The sequence below is a fragment of the Homo sapiens genome, chromosome 19 (genome assembly GCF_000001405.40).
Source record: "Homo sapiens chromosome 19, GRCh38.p14 Primary Assembly".
NCBI classification, from domain to species: domain Eukaryota; kingdom Metazoa; phylum Chordata; class Mammalia; order Primates; family Hominidae; genus Homo; species Homo sapiens.
In genome coordinates, this window is record NC_000019.10 from 49,948,240 (window position 1) to 49,969,658 (window position 21,419).

The 21,419-nt window shown below is 50.2% G+C and overlaps 1 protein-coding gene, 1 long non-coding RNA gene and 1 other non-coding gene across 7 annotated transcripts; all 3 read right to left on the reverse strand.

Annotated features, from left to right (window-relative positions):
- SIGLEC11 (sialic acid binding Ig like lectin 11) lies at positions 746-12,933 on the reverse strand. Of its 5 annotated transcripts, NM_052884.3 has the most exons (11): positions 12,767-12,933; positions 12,313-12,696; positions 11,898-12,182; positions 11,534-11,581; positions 11,121-11,384; positions 10,791-10,838; positions 10,404-10,661; positions 10,044-10,331; positions 4,059-4,155; positions 3,652-3,733; positions 746-1,997 (listed from the first exon to the last, which is right to left on the reverse strand). In NM_052884.3, exons 1-11 carry the CDS (start codon positions 12,840-12,842, stop codon positions 1,731-1,733), a joined length of 2,097 nt encoding a protein of 698 aa, NP_443116.2. In that variant the 5' UTR covers positions 12,843-12,933; the 3' UTR covers positions 746-1,730. The 5 variants fall into 5 exon arrangements, with proteins under 5 accessions (NP_443116.2, XP_005258533.3, NP_001128635.1 ...); XM_005258476.4 differs by lacking the exon at positions 11,534-11,581; NM_001135163.1 differs by lacking the exon at positions 10,044-10,331 and having other exon boundaries at positions 754-1,997.
- LOC124904802 (small nucleolar RNA U3) lies at positions 1,077-1,288 on the reverse strand. The gene has a single exon (XR_007067383.1). It is a non-coding gene; the product is annotated as a small nucleolar RNA U3 (small nucleolar RNA).
- Positions 16,431-21,337, reverse strand: LOC124904745 (uncharacterized). The gene is made up of 2 exons (XR_007067297.1): positions 21,179-21,337; positions 16,431-16,596 (listed from the first exon to the last, which is right to left on the reverse strand). It is a non-coding gene; the product is annotated as an uncharacterized LOC124904745 (long non-coding RNA).
- Between the last annotated feature and the right edge of the window lie 82 nt (positions 21,338-21,419).

The following is a 21,419-nucleotide window of genomic DNA, read 5'->3' on the forward strand; positions in this document are numbered from 1 at the left end:
TCAGGCGAGGGACTCGCTGCACACACGCCTCTGTGGGATACTTTATTTATTTATTTTTGAGATAGAGCCTCACTCTGTTGCCCAGGCTGGAGTGCAGTGGTGCAATCTCGGCTCACTGCAACCTCTGCCTCTTGGGTTCAAGCGATTCTCCTGCCTCAGCCTCCTGAGTAGCTCAGATTACAGGTGCGCACCACCATGCCCAGCTAATTTTCTTGTATTTTTAGTAGAGATGGGGTTTCACCATGTTGGCCAAGATGGCCTCAATCTCCTGATCTCGTGATCCACCTGCCTTGGCCTCCCAAAGTGCTGGGATTACAGGTGTGAGCTACTGTGCCCGGCCTTATTTATTTATTTTTGAGACAGAGCCTCACTCTGTTGCCCAGGCTGGGGTGCAGTGGTGCAATCTCAGCTCGCTGCAACCTCTGCCTCCTGAGTTCAAGTGATTCTCGTGCCTCAGCCTCCTGAGTAGCTGGGTCTACAGGTGTGCACCACTACATCTGGCTAATTTTTGTATTTTTGGTAGAGATGGGGTTTCACCATGTTGGCCAGGCTGGTCTTGAACTCCTGACCTCATGTGATCTGCCTGCCTTGGCCTCCCAAAGTGCTGGGATTACAGGTGTGAGCCACTGCACCCAGCCTGGATGCTTTATTTTAATGATTTCCTTTCTGTCCCACTACAGCCCTGTGATTTAGGCTTATTGTGTCTATTTTACTGAGGAGTAAGATGACTTACTCAAACTCAGGCTTTATTTATTCATTTATTTATTTAGAAACAGAGTCTCACTCTGTTGCCCAGGCTGGAGTGCAGTGGGACGATCTCGGCTCACTGCAACCTCCACCTCCCGGGTTCAACCAATTCTCTGCCTAGTCTCCCGAGTAGCTGGGATTTTAGGCGCCCGCCACCATGCCCGGCTAATTTTTGTATTTTTAGTAGAGATGGGGTTTCACCATCTTGCCCAGGCTGGTCTTGAACTCCTGACTTGTGATCCACCCACTTCAGCCTCCCAAAGTGTTGAGATTACAGGCGTGAGCCACCATGCCCAGCCTTTTTTTTTTTTTTAAATGTTCAAATGGGAACCACTTGGACTTGGTCCTCTCACTCTCCCTCTTCTGAAGGAAGAGCATGGTCATCAACGGGGAATGGCAGTTGCAGCAAACAACTCCAGGAGCTGGCTTCTCGTTCTGGAGAGCACCCTGTGCCTCCTCTGCCTGGTTTCCTGTGCTTTACACATCCAGAGAAGCTTCTGTAGTAATGAACCATAGACACGATGCCTCAAAGTGTCATCTTCAAACTCGCTCTGAATTGAAAGTATAATCTTCAGCCAGCTGTGGTGGCTCACGTCTGTAATCCCAGCACTTTGGGAGGCAGAGGCGGGCAGATTGCTTGAGCCCAGGAGTCTGAGACCAGCCAGGGAAACATGGCAAAACCCTGTCTCTACTAAAAATATAACAATGAGCCTGGCATGGTGGCTCACAATTGTAGTCCCAGCTACTTGGGAGGCTGAAATGGGAGGCTCACTTCAACCTGGCAGGTTGAGGCTACAGTGAGCTGAGATTGCACCACTGGACTCTGGCCTGGAGGACAGAGTCAGACCCTGTCTCAAAAAAAGTATAATCTTCAAACTCAAGCTCTTCATTGGGGATGGGGCTGAAATCTGAGTCCAGTTCTGGCCGTCACACCAGTGCGACTCCCACACACTTGCTGGTGTCCTGTTGCCATGGAGACCTCTTCACTTTGGAACCATCCCTGACATCTCCCTCTCCAATTGAAGCCCAAAGCCTGGGCCCCTCAGGGGCTGTCCTGTGTGGATCTTGATCTCCGAGTACTCGGTGGTGCTGGGGGCCTCCTGGTCCGCAGGCTCCCAGAGCCTCAGGCCCTGGAAGCTGAGGGAGGCATAGTGGAGCTCCTGCTCTTCCCCCTTCCCCGGGGTGTAGGTGGCTGCACCTGGGGGCGGGTGGTCTTGGGAGCTGCCTGCCGAGCATTCATGCTGGTGACCCTGAATGCAGGGGAGAAAGGGGGTCAAATTAGGGTCATGGGGGCTAAGCGAGAGCAAGGAGGATGCACAAGAGGATCTGGAAATTGAGTATTTCCTGTTTCACCTACTCATTCCACAAAGGTCAGCTGGGCCCTCATTCATTCACTCATTCATTCATTCACTCATTCAGCAAATATTTGAGAACAATAACATCTAGCTCTTGGTAATTCACTGCCAGACTCATAAAATCCTCACCACAATCCAGACTCATAAAATCCTCACCACAATCCACTGGGGAGACACTATTGTCTCCATGATCAGATGGAGAAATGAAGGCTGAGTAAATACCCCAAACCCGCACATCTAAGTAGCGGTCAGGCCAGGATTCACGTCCAGGTTTCTCTGACTCCAGTGCCCGCTGCCTTATGGAACAGCTCCCCTGTGCCAGCCCCTGGATATTCCCGGGGGAACTAGGGAGACACCACCCCTGATCTCAGGCAGCTTGCAGTATGGAAGAAGAAGTAGACACATTAAAGCTATAGTCAATGAAGTTACTATCTAATTGCAAATTATAAGTGGATGCCCAGGAAGGAGGAGGTGTGAGAAAGACAGGGATTTGCTCGGACCTGGACTGACCTCAAAGACCTTGGAAGATCTACTCGGACACAATTGTGAAACTGAGCTAGGAGCTCAAGAAAGAAAGGTTACTGGAAGTAAAGGATTCCCCTTGCCCAGAGAAAGCTTCAACCGTTTGTGCCCAGGTGCTGGGAAGGAACCTCTAATGTAGGGCCTTGGAATATCCTGCTGGTAGGAGCATCCCTGTTGACCTGGGACCACAAGCCAGGCCACATAGTTTACGCCAGCACTGGGACTTACGGCGGGGCCTACGTAGCATCAGTTTGGCTCTGCAGGGGCTGAGGAACTGAAGTCAGTGGCAAGTCCCCCATGCCTGCGTGACCCACCCCCAGTGAACCCTGGACCCAGGTTTGGTGGAGCTTCCCAGGTGAGCGGTGCCCTGATGCTCCGTGCATCTGTCACACTTCCTTGCTGGGAGAATTGGGTGCTGTCCCCATGGCTCCCCTGGGAAAGGCCACCGGAAGCTGTGGGTTTGGTATCTCCTGGACCTGCCCTGAGCACCTCTTCCTGTCCATGATTTTCATCTGTATCGGTCACTATAAACCATCACCACGAGGATCACAGCTCTCAGTGAGTCCTGCGAGTCCTAGGGGGTTATCCAACCTCAGAGTGGTCGTGGGGACCCCACAACTGTGGTTGGTGTCAGAAGTGAGGATGGGGACCCTTAGCTTTGTAGTAGACAATAGTCATCTGAGGAAAGGACTCTCTGGCATCCTGTGTTGAGGAGGAGAGATAGGAGGGAGGGCAAAGGAGTCGGGGATGCAGGAGGAAATGAGGAGTGGGAGGTGGAGGGTCCACTGGATCTGAGCACAGGCAGAGTATGGACAGGCCTGGGGGGCCCTTGGTTCTGGGAGGGGATGTAGGGAGCAGTGGGGAGGGTGCCTCCCAGATCATGGGACTTGGGACTGCATTGATGGGGACCCAGGAGCAAAACCCTATTTGGGGCACAATGATTCTGCAAGTCACCAAGAGGACTACCCATGGCCATCAAGGAAAGGGGAACAGGCAGGGCCCCAGCAGACAGAGGCTGGGCTCTCACCTGGGAGATGGGTCCCAGGGTGGAGGGCACGTCCTGCTCAGCTGCTGCCCTCTTGCGAGCTTCCTTCCTGCAGATCTTCACCCTGAGGGAGGAGGCAGTGCCCTTCAGCCTCCAGGCTGGTCCAGAGCCTGGGGAAACTGCTACCCACATGGCTTAGCAGAGGCTGGAAGGCTGCAGAGCCCAGTGGGGTGGGGACATATCCACGGGGTGACTTCCATAGTGAGAACTGGGGACCCTCATAGATGGCCCAGATCAGGGCTCTGGAGCAGACCCCTGCTCTGATCCTCTTGCCCAAGGCCTAGTTCTCACACCCACTGCCCCATCTAGATTCCTGCAGCTGGGACTGTCTGGGATTCTAGAACCCTCACCCTTCCCACACCCTGCATTGCCTGCCCTCCGATGCTTACCTGAAGACGACAAGGCAGGAACAGAAAGCGAGCAGGGCAGCGACGCCAGCTCCCAGGGCAGCCCCCAGGCCAAGTCCTCCCCCATGCTCCAGCTTCCCTGCATGGGAGCAGGGTTTGGGGTGGTGCCCTCCTGGCCCTGAGACCCTCCTGCCCCTTCCTCCCACAGACCTAGAGCTCTCGGATTCTTCATCCCCAACTGAGGCAGAAATTTAAAAATAAATATGCATTCATTCACTCCAAGAAAAGTAACAGGCAAGGAAAGGGTTAAAAAAAGAACAACTTTTCCTCTGCTTAGCAAGGCTCACTTCAAGGACAGTTATAAGATAATACTGTTTAAAAAGCCAAGGCCAAAGGAATAGGCTCCAGACACACCCCCTTCCAGAGCAAGGTTGAAGGAAAACAAGAAAGAAAAACAAATTCCTTTACTGTTACTCCTTTCCCTGGCTTCTTAAGCATAACTATGTTTTACAAATGTCTGTATTTAGCCAGTTCTTTTTTTTTCCTTTTGATACAGCTACAAGGCCACCAGCTATGCAAGGCCACAAGTTATGCTATACTATAAATTATGTCACCTATCCTAAAATTAACTGCCTCTGTTTTACTTTTGTAAGTCTGCTCATAAAAACCTCGCTCTGTCTTTGTTTCATGCTCAGCTTTTTAGATGCGAGTCCACTGAGCCGGTTTGCACCTAAAATAAACAATCCTCCTGTTCTCCGTATCGGTCTCACCAGTCCTCAGTTTCCCGCAGCATTTTTGGCGACCACGAAGGGACCAGAGACGGTAGGTTTACTGCCTCCTTTGCCTCTGGGGGCTGGAGCCCCGGGCCTCAGGAGACCTGTGACCCCAGGTGCCACTGGGTGAACTTCAGCCTGGAGGAGAAATCAGCTCTCCCCTGAGCCGGCGCCCCTACCCAGCAGCACAACAAAACCTGAAAGGAGCTACAGAATGATTTCAGAAACAGTGTACGTCAGGAACCACAGTAACCTTTTGGGGACCAAGGCAGGACCCATCCCATAGGGATGGAAGGGGAGGCTGATCACTTCTTGCGGGGTGCCTAACAGTCCGACCCAGAGGGGTTGGGGGCAGCGAGAGTGGCTCGTCGATTTGGATGAAACTCACACCCCAACCATCACAGGATGTGAGAATGGTTTGCTAAGTCGATTAGGAAAAGGAAACTGGAGGTGGCGAGAGTGGCTTACCACCCTAATTAGGAACTTAGGAACTGGGAGTGGGGAAGTGTGTAACAGTGTGTAAATGAAGAAGCCTTATTAGGCTGATCAGCCACAAAATGGGAAGTCACAATTCTCTTAGTGTGGACTGGGTGCTCCGAGCAAAGTGTGGGGCCAACTAAGACTAGTGGTGATCTGCGTATGGCTAATAGGAGCTGCCCTACAGCTCAGAGTTGTAGCAGGAATAAGGAACTCTCCAAAGCCAAGTAGCTTCTGAAAACTCCCGTAATAGGAGATGGTATAGTTGGCCGAAACTAGAGGAAGAGTGAGTGTGCTGGGCCGTAAAGGAAGGAATAGAAGGAAAGTCCATCAAAACTTACTCCATTGAAGTGCATGTTACAAAACTTTAAGAAAGGTTTTGCAGGGGATTATAAAGTTAAGCTAACCCCCCAAAGGTTGAGAACTCTCTTTGAATTAGAATGACTTTCTTTTGATGTTGGATGGCTGACCGAAGAAACTGTAGACTAGGAAACAATTGGGCATGTATTAAAGATGGTGATAGGGGTCTGAGGACAGCCTGAGTATCCCGATCAATTTCCTTATATTGATTCATGGTTAAATACAGCACAGACAAGACTAACCTGGATCAAGCCCTGTTTAGCAGCTTATTGCAAAACACTTGTAGCCCGAGCCAAAAATAAAAGTAAGAGCAGCTTCACCGACTGACACGAAGTTAAAAGAAAAACCCCAGAAAGAGCAAGAGAAGCCAGTTTTGCAACAGCTGCCAGAGGAAACAGAAATTCCTCCTCCATATGTCCCAGCCTACCCCCCTTTACTGAGGCCAACAGCCCTCCAGGAACCAAATTCAGGAGCTAGCATGCCCTGAGTCTGACCCCGAAGGGAAGGACTGGAGCCTCAAAAGGCCAGGGAAGGAAGTCAAAATAGTCAAGCAGGCTGTCTCAGATCTGGCCGTGCTTGAGCTATGCAAATGCCTGCTCGAGCTATGCAAATGCCTGTCAGGGAGATGTGAGGACCCACTTATTGTAATAACCAAGGCCAGGTTCGGAGGTGGGGGGCAACGCACCTTCATCTATCAGCCCTTTCTGACTACTGAGCTACTGATCTACTGAACTGGAAACACCATACTCCCTCCTACATGGAGAAGCCTCAAGCTCTTATAGATCTGACGCAATCCGTCTTTCTGACACACAGTCCAACCTGGCCAGATTGCAGGCAGCTTTTCCTAACGTTATTTAACACTAAAAAGCGCAGGAGAGTAACATAGGCAGCTCTCCCCTGGCTAAAACCCCATGCACCAGCAGATGCAGTGAATGCTCAGGCATACACTCAAGGTCAGTTCTCATACCAAGATCCCAACTGGAACCCAGAGGATGCAACTCAGCTTCAGCATTTGCAAAGGTACCAAGAGACACTTCTGCAAGGGATAAAAGCTGGTGGAAAGAAAGCAATTAATATACGAAAAATTTCAAAAGTGCTTCAGAGAGCTGACGAGAGCCCAAGTCAGTTTTATAAAAAACTTTGTGAAGCATTCCGGCCTTACACCCTATTTGACCCTGAGGCTGCTGAAAATCAGCGCATGGTAAACACAGCATTTGTAGGGCAAGCCCAGGGTGACGTCAAGCGGCAGCTGCAGGCATGAATGCCACCCAGCTTATAAAAGTGACCACCAAGATGTACATGAACCATGACCAGAGAACAAAACGGGAAAGAGCGAAAGCAACAAGCGAGGCACCAAGCAGCTAGGCACACCAAGGGTTTAGTCCCTCTCCTCAGCCTGGCTCTATCTGGAAAAAGAGCGGGGCGGGGACTGGCCCCAGAAAAAAAGCCAAAAAAAAAAAAAAAAAGAAAGGCATAATTCTTACAACTTGCGGCAGGCATCTACCAAGCCTCTGGGCCTATAACGGCCCAGGGGTGGACTACGGCTGTGCAGATCCTACCTAGCCCAAAAAAGTAAGTGTGAAAAAGGAAAAAAGAAAAATCAGAAAGAAACAGTAAAGATAGATGGCAGTGCGTGCGTGCACAGGGGCGGGGCCCACGCCGTAGCCCAGTCCCACTGGCCAGCTGTAGGAGCAGGATAACTCAGGAAGGAAAAAGGAAGCAGAACATAGGCTTAAAAAAAAAGGCCAATCTGTTGGCAGCAGCCCTCATAAAAAGAAAAATTAGCAGGCCGGGCATGGCGGCTCACACCTGTAATCCCAGCACTTTGGGAGGCCGAGGTGGACAGATCACAGGGTCAGGAGATTGAGACCATCCTGGCTAACACTGTGAAACCCTGTCTCTAGTAAAAATACAAAAAAATTAGCCGGGCTTGGTGGCGGGCGCCTGTAGTCCCAGCTACTCGGGAGGCTGAGGCAGGAGAATGGCGTGAACCTGGGAGTTGGAGCTTGCAGTGAGCAGAGATGGCGCCACTGCACTCCAGCCAGGGCAACAGAGCGAGACTCCGTCTCAAAAAAAAAAAAAAAAAGAACTTGTACTTATGGCCGGGCGCAGTGGCTCACACCTGTAATCCTGTTACCAGAGCCCACTCCTTTAGCAGAAAACCTGTTTGCTCGGCTGCCTAAAAACATTGTCGGCAGCCTAGGCATTTCCTCATACTATGTTTGCGGAGGGACTAACACGGAAGACCAATGGCCTTGGAAAGCAAAAAAGTTAATGCCACAAAATAATTTAACTGACTCTTCTCCCGAACCGACGCCCACAAGTTCAAGCGTCTGGCTCTTAAAAACTTCTATTATCAGGAAATACTGTGTTGCTCGCTGGGGAAAAGTTTTTACAAACCCAGTAAAAGAACTAAACTGCTTAGGACAGCAATATGACGATAAAACACTAAGAAACACTTTGTGGCGGGGCAAAGATGAATGCAAATGACCTCATCCAAATCCGTTCCCTGTTTCTCTTCTTTAAATCACACCTACTATCAGCCGAAAGCTCCAAATACTTGGCAAGCACCTCCTAGTCTTTGTTGGATCTGTAGGCCATGGGCATATCAACAGTTGCCAGCTAAATGGACAGGGGCCTGTGTGCTTGAAACAATTAGACCGTCTTTCTTCCTATTCCCACTGCAACAGGGAGAAACTTTAAGGTATCCTGTCTATAATAAAGTTAAAAAAAATGCAAACACACACACAAAAATAAAAATTAAAAAAATTGAAAAGACACAAATTAACCCCCTGAAAAAATAATTCAATAGTATAGGCCAGCTACCTGGGCACAAAATGGGTCATGGGGATACCACACTCCTATTTACATGCTTAACCGCATCATAAGGTTGCAGGCAGTACTTGAAATCATCACTAATAAAACAGCAAATGCATTAGATTTACTGGCCCAGCAACCCACAAAAATGAAGAATGTTATCTATCAGAACAGGTTAGCTTTGGACTACTCCTAGCCCAGAAAAAAAAAAATGTAAAAAGTTCAATCTAACTAACTGCTGCCTAAAAATCGCTGACAATGAAAAGGCAATTATAAAAATAACTGCAAAAATAAAAAAATTAGCCCATGTTCCAGTTCAAACTTGGAAAGGGTGGTCTCCAGATTCTCTCTTTAAGGACTGGTTTTCATTTTGCAGAGGGTTCAAGACTTTAATAAAAGTGGTTCTGGCCATACTAGGAAGTTGCCGAATACTCCCTTGTCTCTTAGCTCTCCTTGTTGGAAGCATTCAATCAACTATAAAGGCAATAGCAGCTAGGCAAACTACCACTCAGCTAACGGCTCTGCATAAATATCAACCTTTGTCTAAAGAAAAAAAGTGTCTCTTCATGCAGAATTAAGTAATAGTAATGCCTTCTATTAAACTTCTTTTATAAAAAACATCAAAAGGGGGAAACTGAGGCAAAAATTTAAAAATAAATATGCATTCATTCACTCCCAAAAAAGTAACAGGCAAGGCAAGGGTTAAAAAAAAAACAAAAAAAACCCAAGTCTTTCTATGCCTAGCAAGCTCACTTCAAGGACAGGTATAAAATAACACTGTTTAAAAAGCCAAGGCCAAAGGAATGGGCTCCAGACACACCCCTTCCAGAGCAAGGTTAAAGAAAAAAAAAAAAAGACAAATTCTTTTACTGTTACTCCTTTCCCTGGCTTCTTAAGCACAATTATGTTTCACAAATGTCTGTATTTAACCAGTTCTTGTTTTTCTTTTGACACAGCTACAAGGCCACAAGTTATGCACTATATAATTAACCGCTTTTGTTTTACTTTTGTAAGTCCGCTTATAAACACACTGCTTTAGCCGGGCGCGGTGGCACACGCCTGTAATCCCAGCACTTTGGGAGGTCCAGGTGCGTGAATCACAAGGTCAGGAGTTCGAGACCAGCCTGGCCAACATAGTGAAACTAAAAATACAAAAAAATTAGCTGGGCGTGGTGGCGCATGCCTGTAATCCCAGCTACTCAGGTGGCTGAGGCAGGAGAATTGCTTGAATCCGGGAGGCAGAGGTTGCAGTGAGCCGAGATCGAGCCACTGCACTCCAGCCTTGCTGACAGAGCGAGACTCCATCTCAAAAAAAAAACCAAAAAACAAAAAAAACCCCTTCTTTGTCTTTATTTAATGCTCAGCTTTTGAAATGTAAATCCACTAAGCTGGAACTTACCTTAAATAAACAATCCTCCTGTTCTCCATATTGCTCTCTCCGTTCCTCAGTTTCCCGCAACAACTACCAGCCACAGAGCAGGGACTTTGTCCCCATCCCTTCCCACCACGCCCACACCCTCTCCCCACAACCTTGAACCTTCATCTTTCTAGGATCCTGTCTCCTTTCTCCCTGAACCTCAGCCCCCCACAGTCCCCTCACCTGGTAGCAGCTGGAAGACAGAGCCACTCTGGGCCCCGTGGACGTTCCAGGCCTTACAGCGGAGCCTGAGGCCGGAGCTGAGCCCTCCATGGAGGCTCAGGGAGCTGTTGGCCCAGGGCCCGGCTGAGCTGGGGGTGACCTCGAAGGAGCCCTGACTGCTGTTCCCCTCCAGCAGCTCCTCCCCAAGCCACCAGCGCAGAGAGGGGGCCGGGCTGGCCTGGGAGGAGCAGCTGCAGTGCAGACCCTCAGCCTCCCAGGAGCAGGAGGGGCCCAGCAGCTGTGGAGGGTCTGTGGGGAGGGAGGACAGGACTCAGCAGGGGCCCCTTCCTGGGACCCAGGTGTCCCCTTTCCCCCACTCACAGTGCACGGAGAGGCTGAGAGAGACGTGCTGGGAGCCCAGAGGGTGCTGAGCGTGGCAGGTGAACTCTCCTTCGTGCTCCATTTGAATGGGTGGCAGCTCCAGGACCCCGGGGTCTGAGGGCTGGGAGGGGCCCACGGTCTGTCCCCACCGGGTCCAGCTCAGCCTGGCTGGGGGGCTGCTGTGGGTGACACAGACCAGGCGCAGGCTTTGGCCCTCCAGGACCGGGAGGGATGTGCCGTTCCCGAGGTTTTCCAGGACTAGGGAAGGAAGAGGCAGAATCGACGTGCAGCTCAGGGCTCAGGGACCCTCCTGTGTGGGGACCCTCCAGACTCCTGGGCCCCCAGTTTGGCACTGAGAGGCCCTGGCTCCTCTGTCTCCTTTCCTACCTGTCCTGTTTGCTTGGGAAACCATCACTCTCAGGTTCTCTGGAGGATCTGAAATGGAGACAGGGGACCGGCTCTAGACAGACCAGGGGCTTCCCTCTGGGTAAAGGGAACTATCCTGGACACTGAGGTGGGGGAAGTGGGTGGGATAGAAGGGCAGGGCAGAATCACCCACTGAGTCCCAGACACAAACTGCATGAGGGTCTACACAGGTAAGAAGGTCAGTCCCCGAGGCCTGGGGTTCAAGACCCCCTCAGCTCTGGGACCCTGAGCCCAGCCCCTGTATCCCTCTGCCCTCCCAATGGACTCCAGGCCCCTGCTAGGCACACTCACACTGCACAGAGAGGTCCAGGGCTTGCTGCTGGGAGCCAAGCCTGTTCTCCGCTCGGCAGGTGTAGCGCCCTGAATCCCCGGCCCTTACCCCACGCAGCTCCAGCCCCAGGGTTCTGGGGCCCCAGGGGTGGGACGAGGAGAGGACTCTGTCCTGCAGGACCCAGCTCAGCGTGGCAGGGGGCTGGCTGTCAGCAGCACAGAGGAGCCGCAGGAACTGGCCTTTCTGAACTTCCAGATATATGACGTTTCCCTGGAGTTCCAGGGCTGAAGACAGGGAAAGAGAGAGGGTGGGGGTGGAGAGAGAGAATGGGTGGGAGGGGGGGCTGCAAAGAGGACCACATCCCCTCACCCCCCTGAAGCCTTTTCATCCCTAAAGAGGACTGGCCCAGCCCCAGCCCGAAGGCCCTCAGTACCTGACGTGTTGTCATGTGAAATGCTGATAATAAGGTCTTTGGGGGCATCTGCAACAAGATTGTGAGCTGGCTTCAGGGAGGGACAATTTGTTCCTCACACCTGGAAAAAACTCCCTCAGGGAAAAGAAAGTGGGAACATCCCAGGATGGACAAGTGACAACCAGCTCCAGGGCTCACACATGTGGACAGAGGATCAGACGCCATTCCCATCCCCCTCCCAGGGCTGAGCCGGCATCCTGGGACCCCACAGCTTCCTCTCCCTGGATGCTCCTGAGCTGGGAGCCACTCACTGTCCCGCTGGGCTCCTCCACCTCCCCACCCACCGGGGCTGTCTGCACGCCCCACCCTCCCAGGCCACACTCACAGGCCACACGGAGTCGGACGGTCCTCTGTGCGCTCACACCCTTTCTGGAGAAGTCCACATGGCAGGTGAGGTCGGTGTCGTGGTCCTGGGGGCTGGGCGTGAAGCTGAGCACTGAGAAGTGGGAGGTGCTTGGTCTGGTTCTTCTAGGGGAGAGGGCAGCCCCCGTCCAGGAGAAAGAAGGGGCTGGACATTTCTTGAAAGCCCAGTTAAACACACAGATGACCGTCACCGGCTGCCCGGGCTCCAGGGTCTCGGGGATGTAGACATCAGGCTTCTTAGTCAGGGCTGGGACAGAGACCGGGTGGGAGATTCTTGTGCTGCAGGGGTCCCTGAGAGCCCTCTCTGCTCAGCCCATAGCCTGTCCCCAGGGTCCCTCCCCAGTGTGACAGGCAGGGGTTCCCACCCCATTCCATACCTGTTACTTTTAGAAAGAACGCATTGCTCAGGAAACTATGTCTCACACGGCTTCCTCTCTCCACCCGAAAGAAGTACCATGCCTCATCCTCCCTCTGCGCGTCTCTGATCACCAAGGAGCAGCTCCCTTTGCCGGGATCCCCAGTGAGCTGGAATCGGTCCCGGGTGCTCATTTCCACCTCTCGACTCTGGTTGTTAGTGGCCACAGGAGCACCCGTCTTTGGGCTGGTCCGTCCTTTGAACCAGTAGCCATAAGCAGCAGTAGACTCGTCCCAGCCATCCCGGGGGTAGGAGAGGTTGCAAGACACGATGACACACAGGCCCTCCGGCACCGGCACCTGCCTCTGCACTTGAAGACTGTAACTGGGATCCTTGTTCAGGGACCCTGGGGAGATGCAGAGGCTCAGCGGCAGCCCCAGCCCCTGCCTGGGACCCCCAGCCACCGACCCACTCACCCGCCCCCAGCACGGGCAGCAGCAGGGGCAGCAGCAGCATCTCTGGGCTCTGGGGCTGGGCCTGTCCCGGGACCATCTGGCTTCTGGGCCGGCCTGGCTGGGAAGGAAACTCCTCCAGCAGGAAGCCTGGTGGAGGGGCAGTGACCATCCACAGAGGAGGAGCCTCGGGAACCGCTATGTCCTGAAAGCTCGCTTCCCAACTTCTCCTTTCACAGGGGAAGCAGCAGGGCAGAGGGCATGAGGACCAGCCCCAAACCAGGAAGGAGCCACCCTGGCCAGCCTCGGAGGTGGGCAGTGCTAGGAGGGGACTGTCAGGGGACACAGGTGAGTCACGGCTGCAGGTGAGGTGATGGATGCAGAGTCTCATTCATTCATTCATTCTCCAGGGGGCCATGAGACACTGGAAGAGTCTACAAGAACACAGTGATTTATGGTGGGGGCTTTGCACCACGTATTATTGCTGTATCTCCACAGAGGGTAAAAACTAGGTCAGCCACACAGGCAGTCAGCTGCATCTACGTGACCAACCCCCAGTAAAAACTCTGAATGCCGAGGCTCAGGTGAGCTTCCCTGGGTGGCAATACTTGCTGTATGTTGTCACTCATCTTTGCTTCAAGCATTAAGCGCTTTCTGTATGACTTCACTGGGAAAGGACAACTGGAATCCCACATATGGTCTCTTCTGGATCCTGTCCTATGAACCTTTCTCCTTTGTTGATTTTTATTTATTTATTTTTATTTTATTATTATTATTTTTTTGAGATGGAGTCTCGCTCTGTTCCCCAGGCTACAGTGCAGTGGTGGGATCTCAGCTCACTGCAAGCTCCACCTCCCGGGTTCACACCATTCTCCTGCCTCAGCCTCCTGAGTAGCTGGGACTACAGGCGTCCACCCCAACGCCCGGCTAATTTTTTTCTTGTATTTTTAGTAGAGACAGGGTTTTAGCGTGTTAGCCAGGATGGTCTCGATCTCCTGACCTTGTGATCCGCCCACCTTGGCCTCCCAAAGTGCTGGGATTACAGGCATAAGCCACTGCGCCTGGCCATTTTATTTTTATTTTTGAGACAGTCTCACTCTGTCACCCAGGCTGGAGGGCAGTGGTGCAATCTTGGCTCACTGCAACCTCCGCCTCCCAAGGTCAAGTGATTCTGCTGCCTCAGCCTCCCGAGTAGCTGGGACTACAGGCACCCACCCACCACCATGCCCGGATAATTTTTTGTATTTTTAGTAGAGATGGGGTTTCATCATGTTGAGCAGCCTAGTCTCGAACTCCTGACCTCAGGTGATCTGCCTGCCTCAGCCTCCCAAAATGCTGGCATTGTAGGCGTGAGCCACTGTGTCTGGCTTGTTGATTTTTTTTTTTTTAGATGAAGTTTTGCTCTTGTTGCCCAGGCTGGAGCACAATGGCATGATCTCGGCTCACTAAAACCTCCACCTCTCAGGTTCAAGCGATTCTCCTGCCTCAGCCCCCTGAGTAGCTGGGATTACTGGTGCCCACCACCATGCCCAGCTAATTTTTTGTATATTTAGTAGAGATGGGGTTTCACCATGTTGACTAGGCTGATCTTGAACTTCTGACCTCAGGTGATCCACCTGCCTCGGAGTCCCAACATCCTGGGATTACAGGCGTGAGCCACTGCGCCCAGCCCTGCCTTGTTGATTTTTAAAAAGTATTTTTATTAATATGTGATATTTGTACATATTTATGGGGTATATGTGATATTTTGTGCCATGCATAGAATATGGTATAATCAAGTCAGGGTATTTGAATATCTGTCACCTCAAACATTTATTATTTCTATTGTTGGGAACATTTCAAATCATCTTTTCTAGTTATTTTGAAAAATACAATACGTTATTATTATTTTTTAAGACAGGGTCACTCAGGCTGGGCACTGTGGCTCACGCCTGTAATCCCAGCACTTTGGGAGGCCAAGGCGGGTGGATCACAAGGTCAGGAGATCAAGACCATCCTGGCTAACACGGTGAAACCCCATCTCTATTAAAAATACAAAAAATTAGCTGGGCATGGTGGCACGTGCCTACAGTCCCAGCTACTCAGGAGGCTGAGGTGGGAGAATGGCGTGAACCCGGGAGGTGGAGCTTGCAGTGAGCTGAGATTGCACCACTGCACTCCAGCCTGGGCAACAGAGAGAGACTCCATCTCAAAAAAAAAGAAAAAAAAGAAAAAAAAGACAGGGTCTGTCTGTCACCCAGGCTGGAGTGCAGTGGTGAGATCACGGCTCACTGCAGCTTTGACCTCCCCAAGCTCAAGCAATCCTCCCACTTCAGCCTCCCGAGCAGCTGGGACTACAGGTGTGCACTACCACTTAATTTTTATACTTTGTTTTTGATAGAGATGGAGTTTTACCATGTTGATCAGGCTGGTCTCAAACTCCTAGGCTCAAGCGATCTGCCTGTCTCAGCCTCCCAAATTGTTGGGATTACAGGCATGAGCCACCACTACAATATGTTACTGTTAACTATAGTCACCCTACTCTGCTATTAAACATAAGAACTATTCCTTCTATATAACCGTATATTTGTTAGACAGACCTCTTCATTCCCCACCTACTCACCCATGCATCCTTCTAGGGTTCCGATAACTATTATTCTACTCTCTGCCTCCATGAGATCATAGTCCATGATCTCTGTATGCCTTTATGTATCCATAGCTTAGCTCCCACTTAAAAGTGAGAACATAATGGCATTTGATTTTTCATTCCTGAGTTATTTCACTTAGAAATATGGCCTCCAGCTCTGTCCGAGTTGCTGCAAAAGATATTATTTCATTCTTTTTTTATGGCTGAGTAATATTCCATGACAATGGTATACATACCGCTGCCTAGACCAATGTCCTGAAGAGTTTTTCCTAGGTTATCTTCTAGAATTTTTTGGTTTCAGGACTTAGATTTAAGTCTTTGATCCATATTGAGTTGAATTTTTTTTTTTTTTTTTGAGACAGAGTCTCACTCTGTCGCCCAGGCTGGAGTGCAGTAGCATGACCTCGGCTCACTGCAACCTCCACCTGCCAGGTTCAAGCAATTCTCCTGCCTCAGCCTCCCGAGTAGCTGGGACTACAGGTGCCCGCCACCATGCCTGGCTTGTTTTTTGTATTTTTAGTAGAGATGACGTTTCACCATGCTGGTCAGGCTGGTCTTGAACTCCTGACCTCGTGATCCTCCCGCCCCGGCCTCCCAAAGTGTTGGGATTACAGTCGTGACCCACTGCGCCTGGCCTAATTTTTGTATTTTTAATAGAGATGGATTTTCACCATGTTGGCCAGGCTGGTCTCGAACTCCTTACCTCAAGTGATCCACCTACCCTGGCCTCCCAAGGTGCTGGGATTACAGGCATGAGCCACTGCGCCTGGCCAAGGATTGATTTTTGATGTTTTTTTTTTTTGAGACAGAGTCTTGCATCTCGCTCTTTCATCCAGGCTGGAGTGCAGTGGCACGATCTTGGCTCACTGCAACCTCTGCCTCCCAGGTAGCTGGGATGACAGATGTGTGCCACCAGGCCTGGCTAATTTTTGTATTTTTAGTAGAGACGAGGTTTTACCATGTTGGCCAGGCTGGTCTCGGACTCCTGACCTCAAGTAATCTGCCCACCTCAACCTCCCAAAGTGCTGGGATTACAGGCATGAGCCACCACATCCAGCCTGATTTTAATGTTTATAGTTTATTGGCGCTTAATTCAGGTCTTGGTGCTTTCAGGGATGAAGGTTCTGTATGAGTTCCTTGGTTGTAGAGAGTCCTTGTGCGCTGGCTTCTCAGTTGCTGGCTGCAGTGGCAATGTGCTCAGTAAGATGGTGATCAAGTTCATCATCTCCTGTGGGGTTGGAATGGCAGAGGTCTTTTGAAGCTTACCTTGTTCCACTGTGGTGTGCACTTTTAAATTAATTTATTTTTTTCCCCAGTATTTTATTCACTGGGTTGAATCATTAAGGCTTCAGGTTAGTGGGGACGTGTCTCTGGGTAGAAAACAGTTGTGGCTGGCCGGTGCGGTGGCTCACGCCTGTAATCCCAGCACTTTGGGAGGCTGAGGCGGGTGGATCACGAGGTCAGGAGATCGAGACCATCCTGGCTAACACAGTGAAACCCTGTCTCTACTAAAAATACAAAAAAATTAGCCAGGCGTGGCGGCGGGCACCTGTAATCCCAGCTACTCGGGAGGCTGAGGCAGGAGAATGGCGTGAACCCAGGAGGCGGAGCTTGCAGTGAGCCGAGATCGTGCCACTGCACTCCAGCCTGAGTGACAGAGCAAGACTCCGTCTCAAAAAAAAAACAAAAAAAAGACAAAGAAAAAAAAGAGGCCGGGTGTGGTGGCTCACGCCTGTAATTCCAGCACTTTGGGAGGCCAAGGCGGGTGGATCGTGAAGTCAGGAGGTCAAGACCATCCTGGCCAACACGGTGAAACCCTGTCTCTACTAAAAATACAAAAAACTAGCCAGGCGTGGTGGCGGGCGCCTGTAGTTCCAGCTACTTGGGAGGCTGAGGCAGGAGAATGGCATGAACCCGGGAGGCGGAACTTGGAGTGAGCCAAGATCACGCCACTGCACTCCAGCCTGGGAGACAGAGCGAGACTCTGTCTCAAAAAAAAAAAAAAAAAACAAAAGAAAAGAAAAGAGTTGTGGCTAAAGCACTGGGTAAATGCAGTACCCAATGGTGAGCCAAGGCCCCCGCCTTGACAGAGGTGGCTGGGGGAGCTCTTAGCAACATGCGCTGAGGTTTGCTTTTGCTTTTTTGTTTTTGACAGGATTTCAGTCTATCACCCAGGGTGGAGTACAGTGGTGTGATCACAGATCGCTGCAGCCTTGACCTCCCTGGCTCAAGTGCTCCTCTTGCCTCAGTCTCCCAGGTACCTGGGACCACAGGCACATGACACCGTGCCTGGTCATTGTTAATTTTTGTAGAGTTGGGGTTTCCCTATGTTGCCCAGGCTAGTCTCTAACTCCTGGTCTCAAGCGATTCTCCAACCTCGGCCTCTCAAAATGCTGAGATGACAGCCGCAAGCCACCATGCCTGGCCATTTCCTTCCTTGTACTAATTTTGGTTTATTCTTGCTTTTCTGGTTCCTTGGGGTCCATTTTTTTTTTTTTTTTTCTGAGATGCAGTTTCACTCTGTTGCCCAGGCTGGAGTGCAGTGGCACAGTTTCAGCTAACTGCAACCTCCACCTCCTGGGTTCAAGCGATTCTCCTGCTTCAGCCTCCTGAGTAGCTGGGATTACAGGTGTGCCACCATACCCAGCTAATTTTTGTATGTTTAGTAGAGATGGGGTTTCACCATGTTGTCCAGGCTGGTCTTGAACCCCTGACCTCAGGTGATCCACCCACCTTGGCCTCCCAAAGTGCCAGGATTACAGGCGTGAGCCACTGCGCCCGGCCAGGGGTCCACTGTTATGTTGTGTATTTGAATTCTTCTATCTTTTTTTTTGAAAGAGGCATTTGTTGTTATAAACTTCACTCCTGGCACAGCTTTTGCAGTATCTCATAGGTTTTGGTAGGCTGTATTTCCATCTTCATTTCAATAATTTTTTTTTTTTTAAGACAGAGTCTCACTCTTGTCATCCAGGCTAGATTGCAATGGCACCATCTCAGCTCACTGCAACCTCCGCCTCCCAGGTTAAAGTGATTCTCCTGCCTCAGCCTCCTGAGTAGCTGGGATTACAGGTACATGCCACCATGCCCGGCAAATTTTTTTTTTTTTTTGTATTTTTAGTAGAGACAGGGTTTCACCATGTTGGTCAGGCTAGTCTCCAATGCCTGACCTCAGGTGATCCACCTTGGCCTCCCAAAGTGCTGGGATTACAGGCATGAGCCACCGCTCCCGGCCGCAAGAAGCGTCTTGATGTTCTTTTTAATTTCTTCCTTGACCCAGTGGTCATTCAGGAGCATGCTGTTTAATTTCCATATATTTGTACATCTTCCAAAGTTCCTCTTATTAATCATTTCTAGTTTCACTTCCATTGTGGTCTGAGAAGATGTTTAATATGATTTCAATTTCTATAAATATGTTAGATTTCTTTCATAGCCTCACATATGGTGTATCCTGGAGAATGTTTCATGTGCCAAAGAGAAGACTGCGTTCTTCAGCTGTGGGATAAGATGTTCTGCAAACATCTCTTAGGTCCCTTGGGTCTAAAATGCAGTTTAAATCCAAAGTTTCTTTGCTAATTTTCTGTCCAGATGATCTGTCTAATGCTGAGAGTGTTCAATGTGGTGTTCAAGTCTCCAACTACTATTGTATTGGAGTCTGTCTCTCCCCTTATGTGTGCTCCAGTGTGAGGTGCATATAAATTTAGTTACGTAAAGTTATATCTTCTTGCTGAATTGACCCTTTTATCATTACGCAATGACTTAAAGTCTGTTTTTTTTTTTTTAAGTCTCTTTTTTTTTTTTTTTTTGAGACGGAGTCTTGCTCTGTTGCCCAGGCTGGAGTGCAGTGGCGCGATCTCGGCTCACTGCAAGTTCTGCCTCCCAGGTTCACGCCATCCTCCTGCCTCAGCCTCCTGAGTAGCTGGGACTACAGGTGCCTGCCACCACGCCCAGCTAATTTTTTGTATTTTTAGTAGAGATGGGATCTCACCGTGTTAGCCAGGATGGTCTTGATCTCCTGACCTCGTGATCCACCCGCCTCGGCCTCCCAAAGTGCTGGGATTATAGACGTGAGCCACCGCACCTGGCCTTTTAAGTCTGTTTTATCTGGAGTAAGTATAACTACTCCTGCTTGTCTTTTTTGGTTTCTGTTTGCATGGAATATTTTTTTCAATCTCTTTGTTTTCAGTGTATATGTCTTTCCAAGTGAGTGACTTTCTTATATGTAGCATAAAGTTGGGTTATGTTTTTGTAAATCCATTTAGCAAAACATCAAATTGTATCCATAAACATATATAATTATTATTATTTGCTAATTAAAAATAATATAAATTGTAGTAAAATACCCATAACACAAACCTACTACTTTAACCACTTTATTTTTTATTTATTTATTTTTTTTGAGATGGAGTCTCACTCTCTTGCTCAGGCTGGAGTGCAGTGACGGATCTCGGCTCACTGCAACCTCTGCCTCCCGGATTTAAGCAATTCTCATGTCTCAGTCTCCTGAGTGGCTGGGACTACAAGTGAGCGCCACCATGCCCTGCTAATTTTTGTATTTTTAGTAGAGACGGGGTTTCGCCATGTTGGCTAGGCTGGTCTCGAACTCCTGACCTCAGGTGATCCACCCGCCTCAGCCTCCCAAAGTGCTGGGATTACAGGCATGAGCCACTGCATCTGGCCTACTTTCATCATTTTAAAGTGCACAATTAGCTGGGCATGGTGGTGCATGCCTGTAATCCCTGCTACTCGGGAGGCTGAGGCACGAGAACTGCTTGAAACTGGGAGGCAGAGGTTGCAGTGAGCCGAGATTGCGCCACTGCACTCAGCCTGGGTGACAAAGTGAGACTCAAAAAAAAAAAAAAGTGTACATTTCATTGGCACTAAGTACATTCACATTCTTGTGCAACCATCAGCTCCATCTAGTTGCAGAACTTTTCCATCATTGAAAAAAGAAACCAAGTACCCATTAAACAGTCACTTCCCATTCTTCCCTCCCCCCAGGCCCCCAAAATGACAAATCTACTTCCTGTCACTACATTTGCCTCTTCTGGTCATATCAGATGAACAGAATCATGCAATATTGTCTGGTTTCTTTCACTTAGTATAATGTTGTCAGGACCATCTATGCTGTGGCAGGTGTCACAATGTAATTCTTTTTTAGGGGTGAATAATACTCCATTAAATGAATAAACCACATTTTGTTCATGGAGTTTTAAATTTGCTAGTTAATGTCCAAATCCTCAGCCTTGGGGAATCGGGAGGTGCTGGGGCCCCTGCCCTTGAGTCTGCACAACCCAGACCCCCCTCTATGCCCAGGTGGTAATTGGGGCTGGGCTGAGCCACAAACTAGTCTGGGCATCAGGGTGGGGAGGTGACAGAGCTGGGACCCTGTGATGTAAGGTCCAAGTTCCCCAGTGGGGGCTCCATGAACCAATTAGACCTCATTTACAAAACACAGATCAAAAGATAAATTATTAAGAATGTCCAGGGGGCAACCTCAGAGCACTAAACCCCAAGCATGAGGCCCCCTGAGCTCACTGGGGTCTTATGTAATTGCCCCCTTCTCCCTGTGGAGCTGGGAGCCTGGTGTAAGCTGCAGAGACGGCCCCGCAACAGGCAGGGGAGCTCAGTGCCTTTGGGGAGCCCGGGGACCCTGAGTTGACATAAGTGGAGGTGAGGATCCTGTGGGCAGGGATTGGATGGTCATGTCTTCTTTGCCTCCCCCCACTGCATGGAGTAGATTTTGCCTGGAGAATGAATGAATGAATGAATGGGACTCTGCATCCATCACTTCACCTGCAGCCATGACTCACCTGTGTCCCCTGACAGTCCCCTCCTAGCACTGCCCACCTCCGAGGCTGGCCAGGGTGGCTCCTTCCTGGTTTGGGGCTGGTCCTCATGCCCTCTGCCCTGCTGCTTCCCCTGTGAAAGGAGAAGTTGGGAGGCGAGCTTTCAGGACATTGCGGTTCCCGAGGCTCCTCCTCTGTGGATGGTCACTGCCCCTCCACCAGGCTTCCTGCTGGAGGAGTTTCCTTCCCAGCCAGGCCGGCCCAG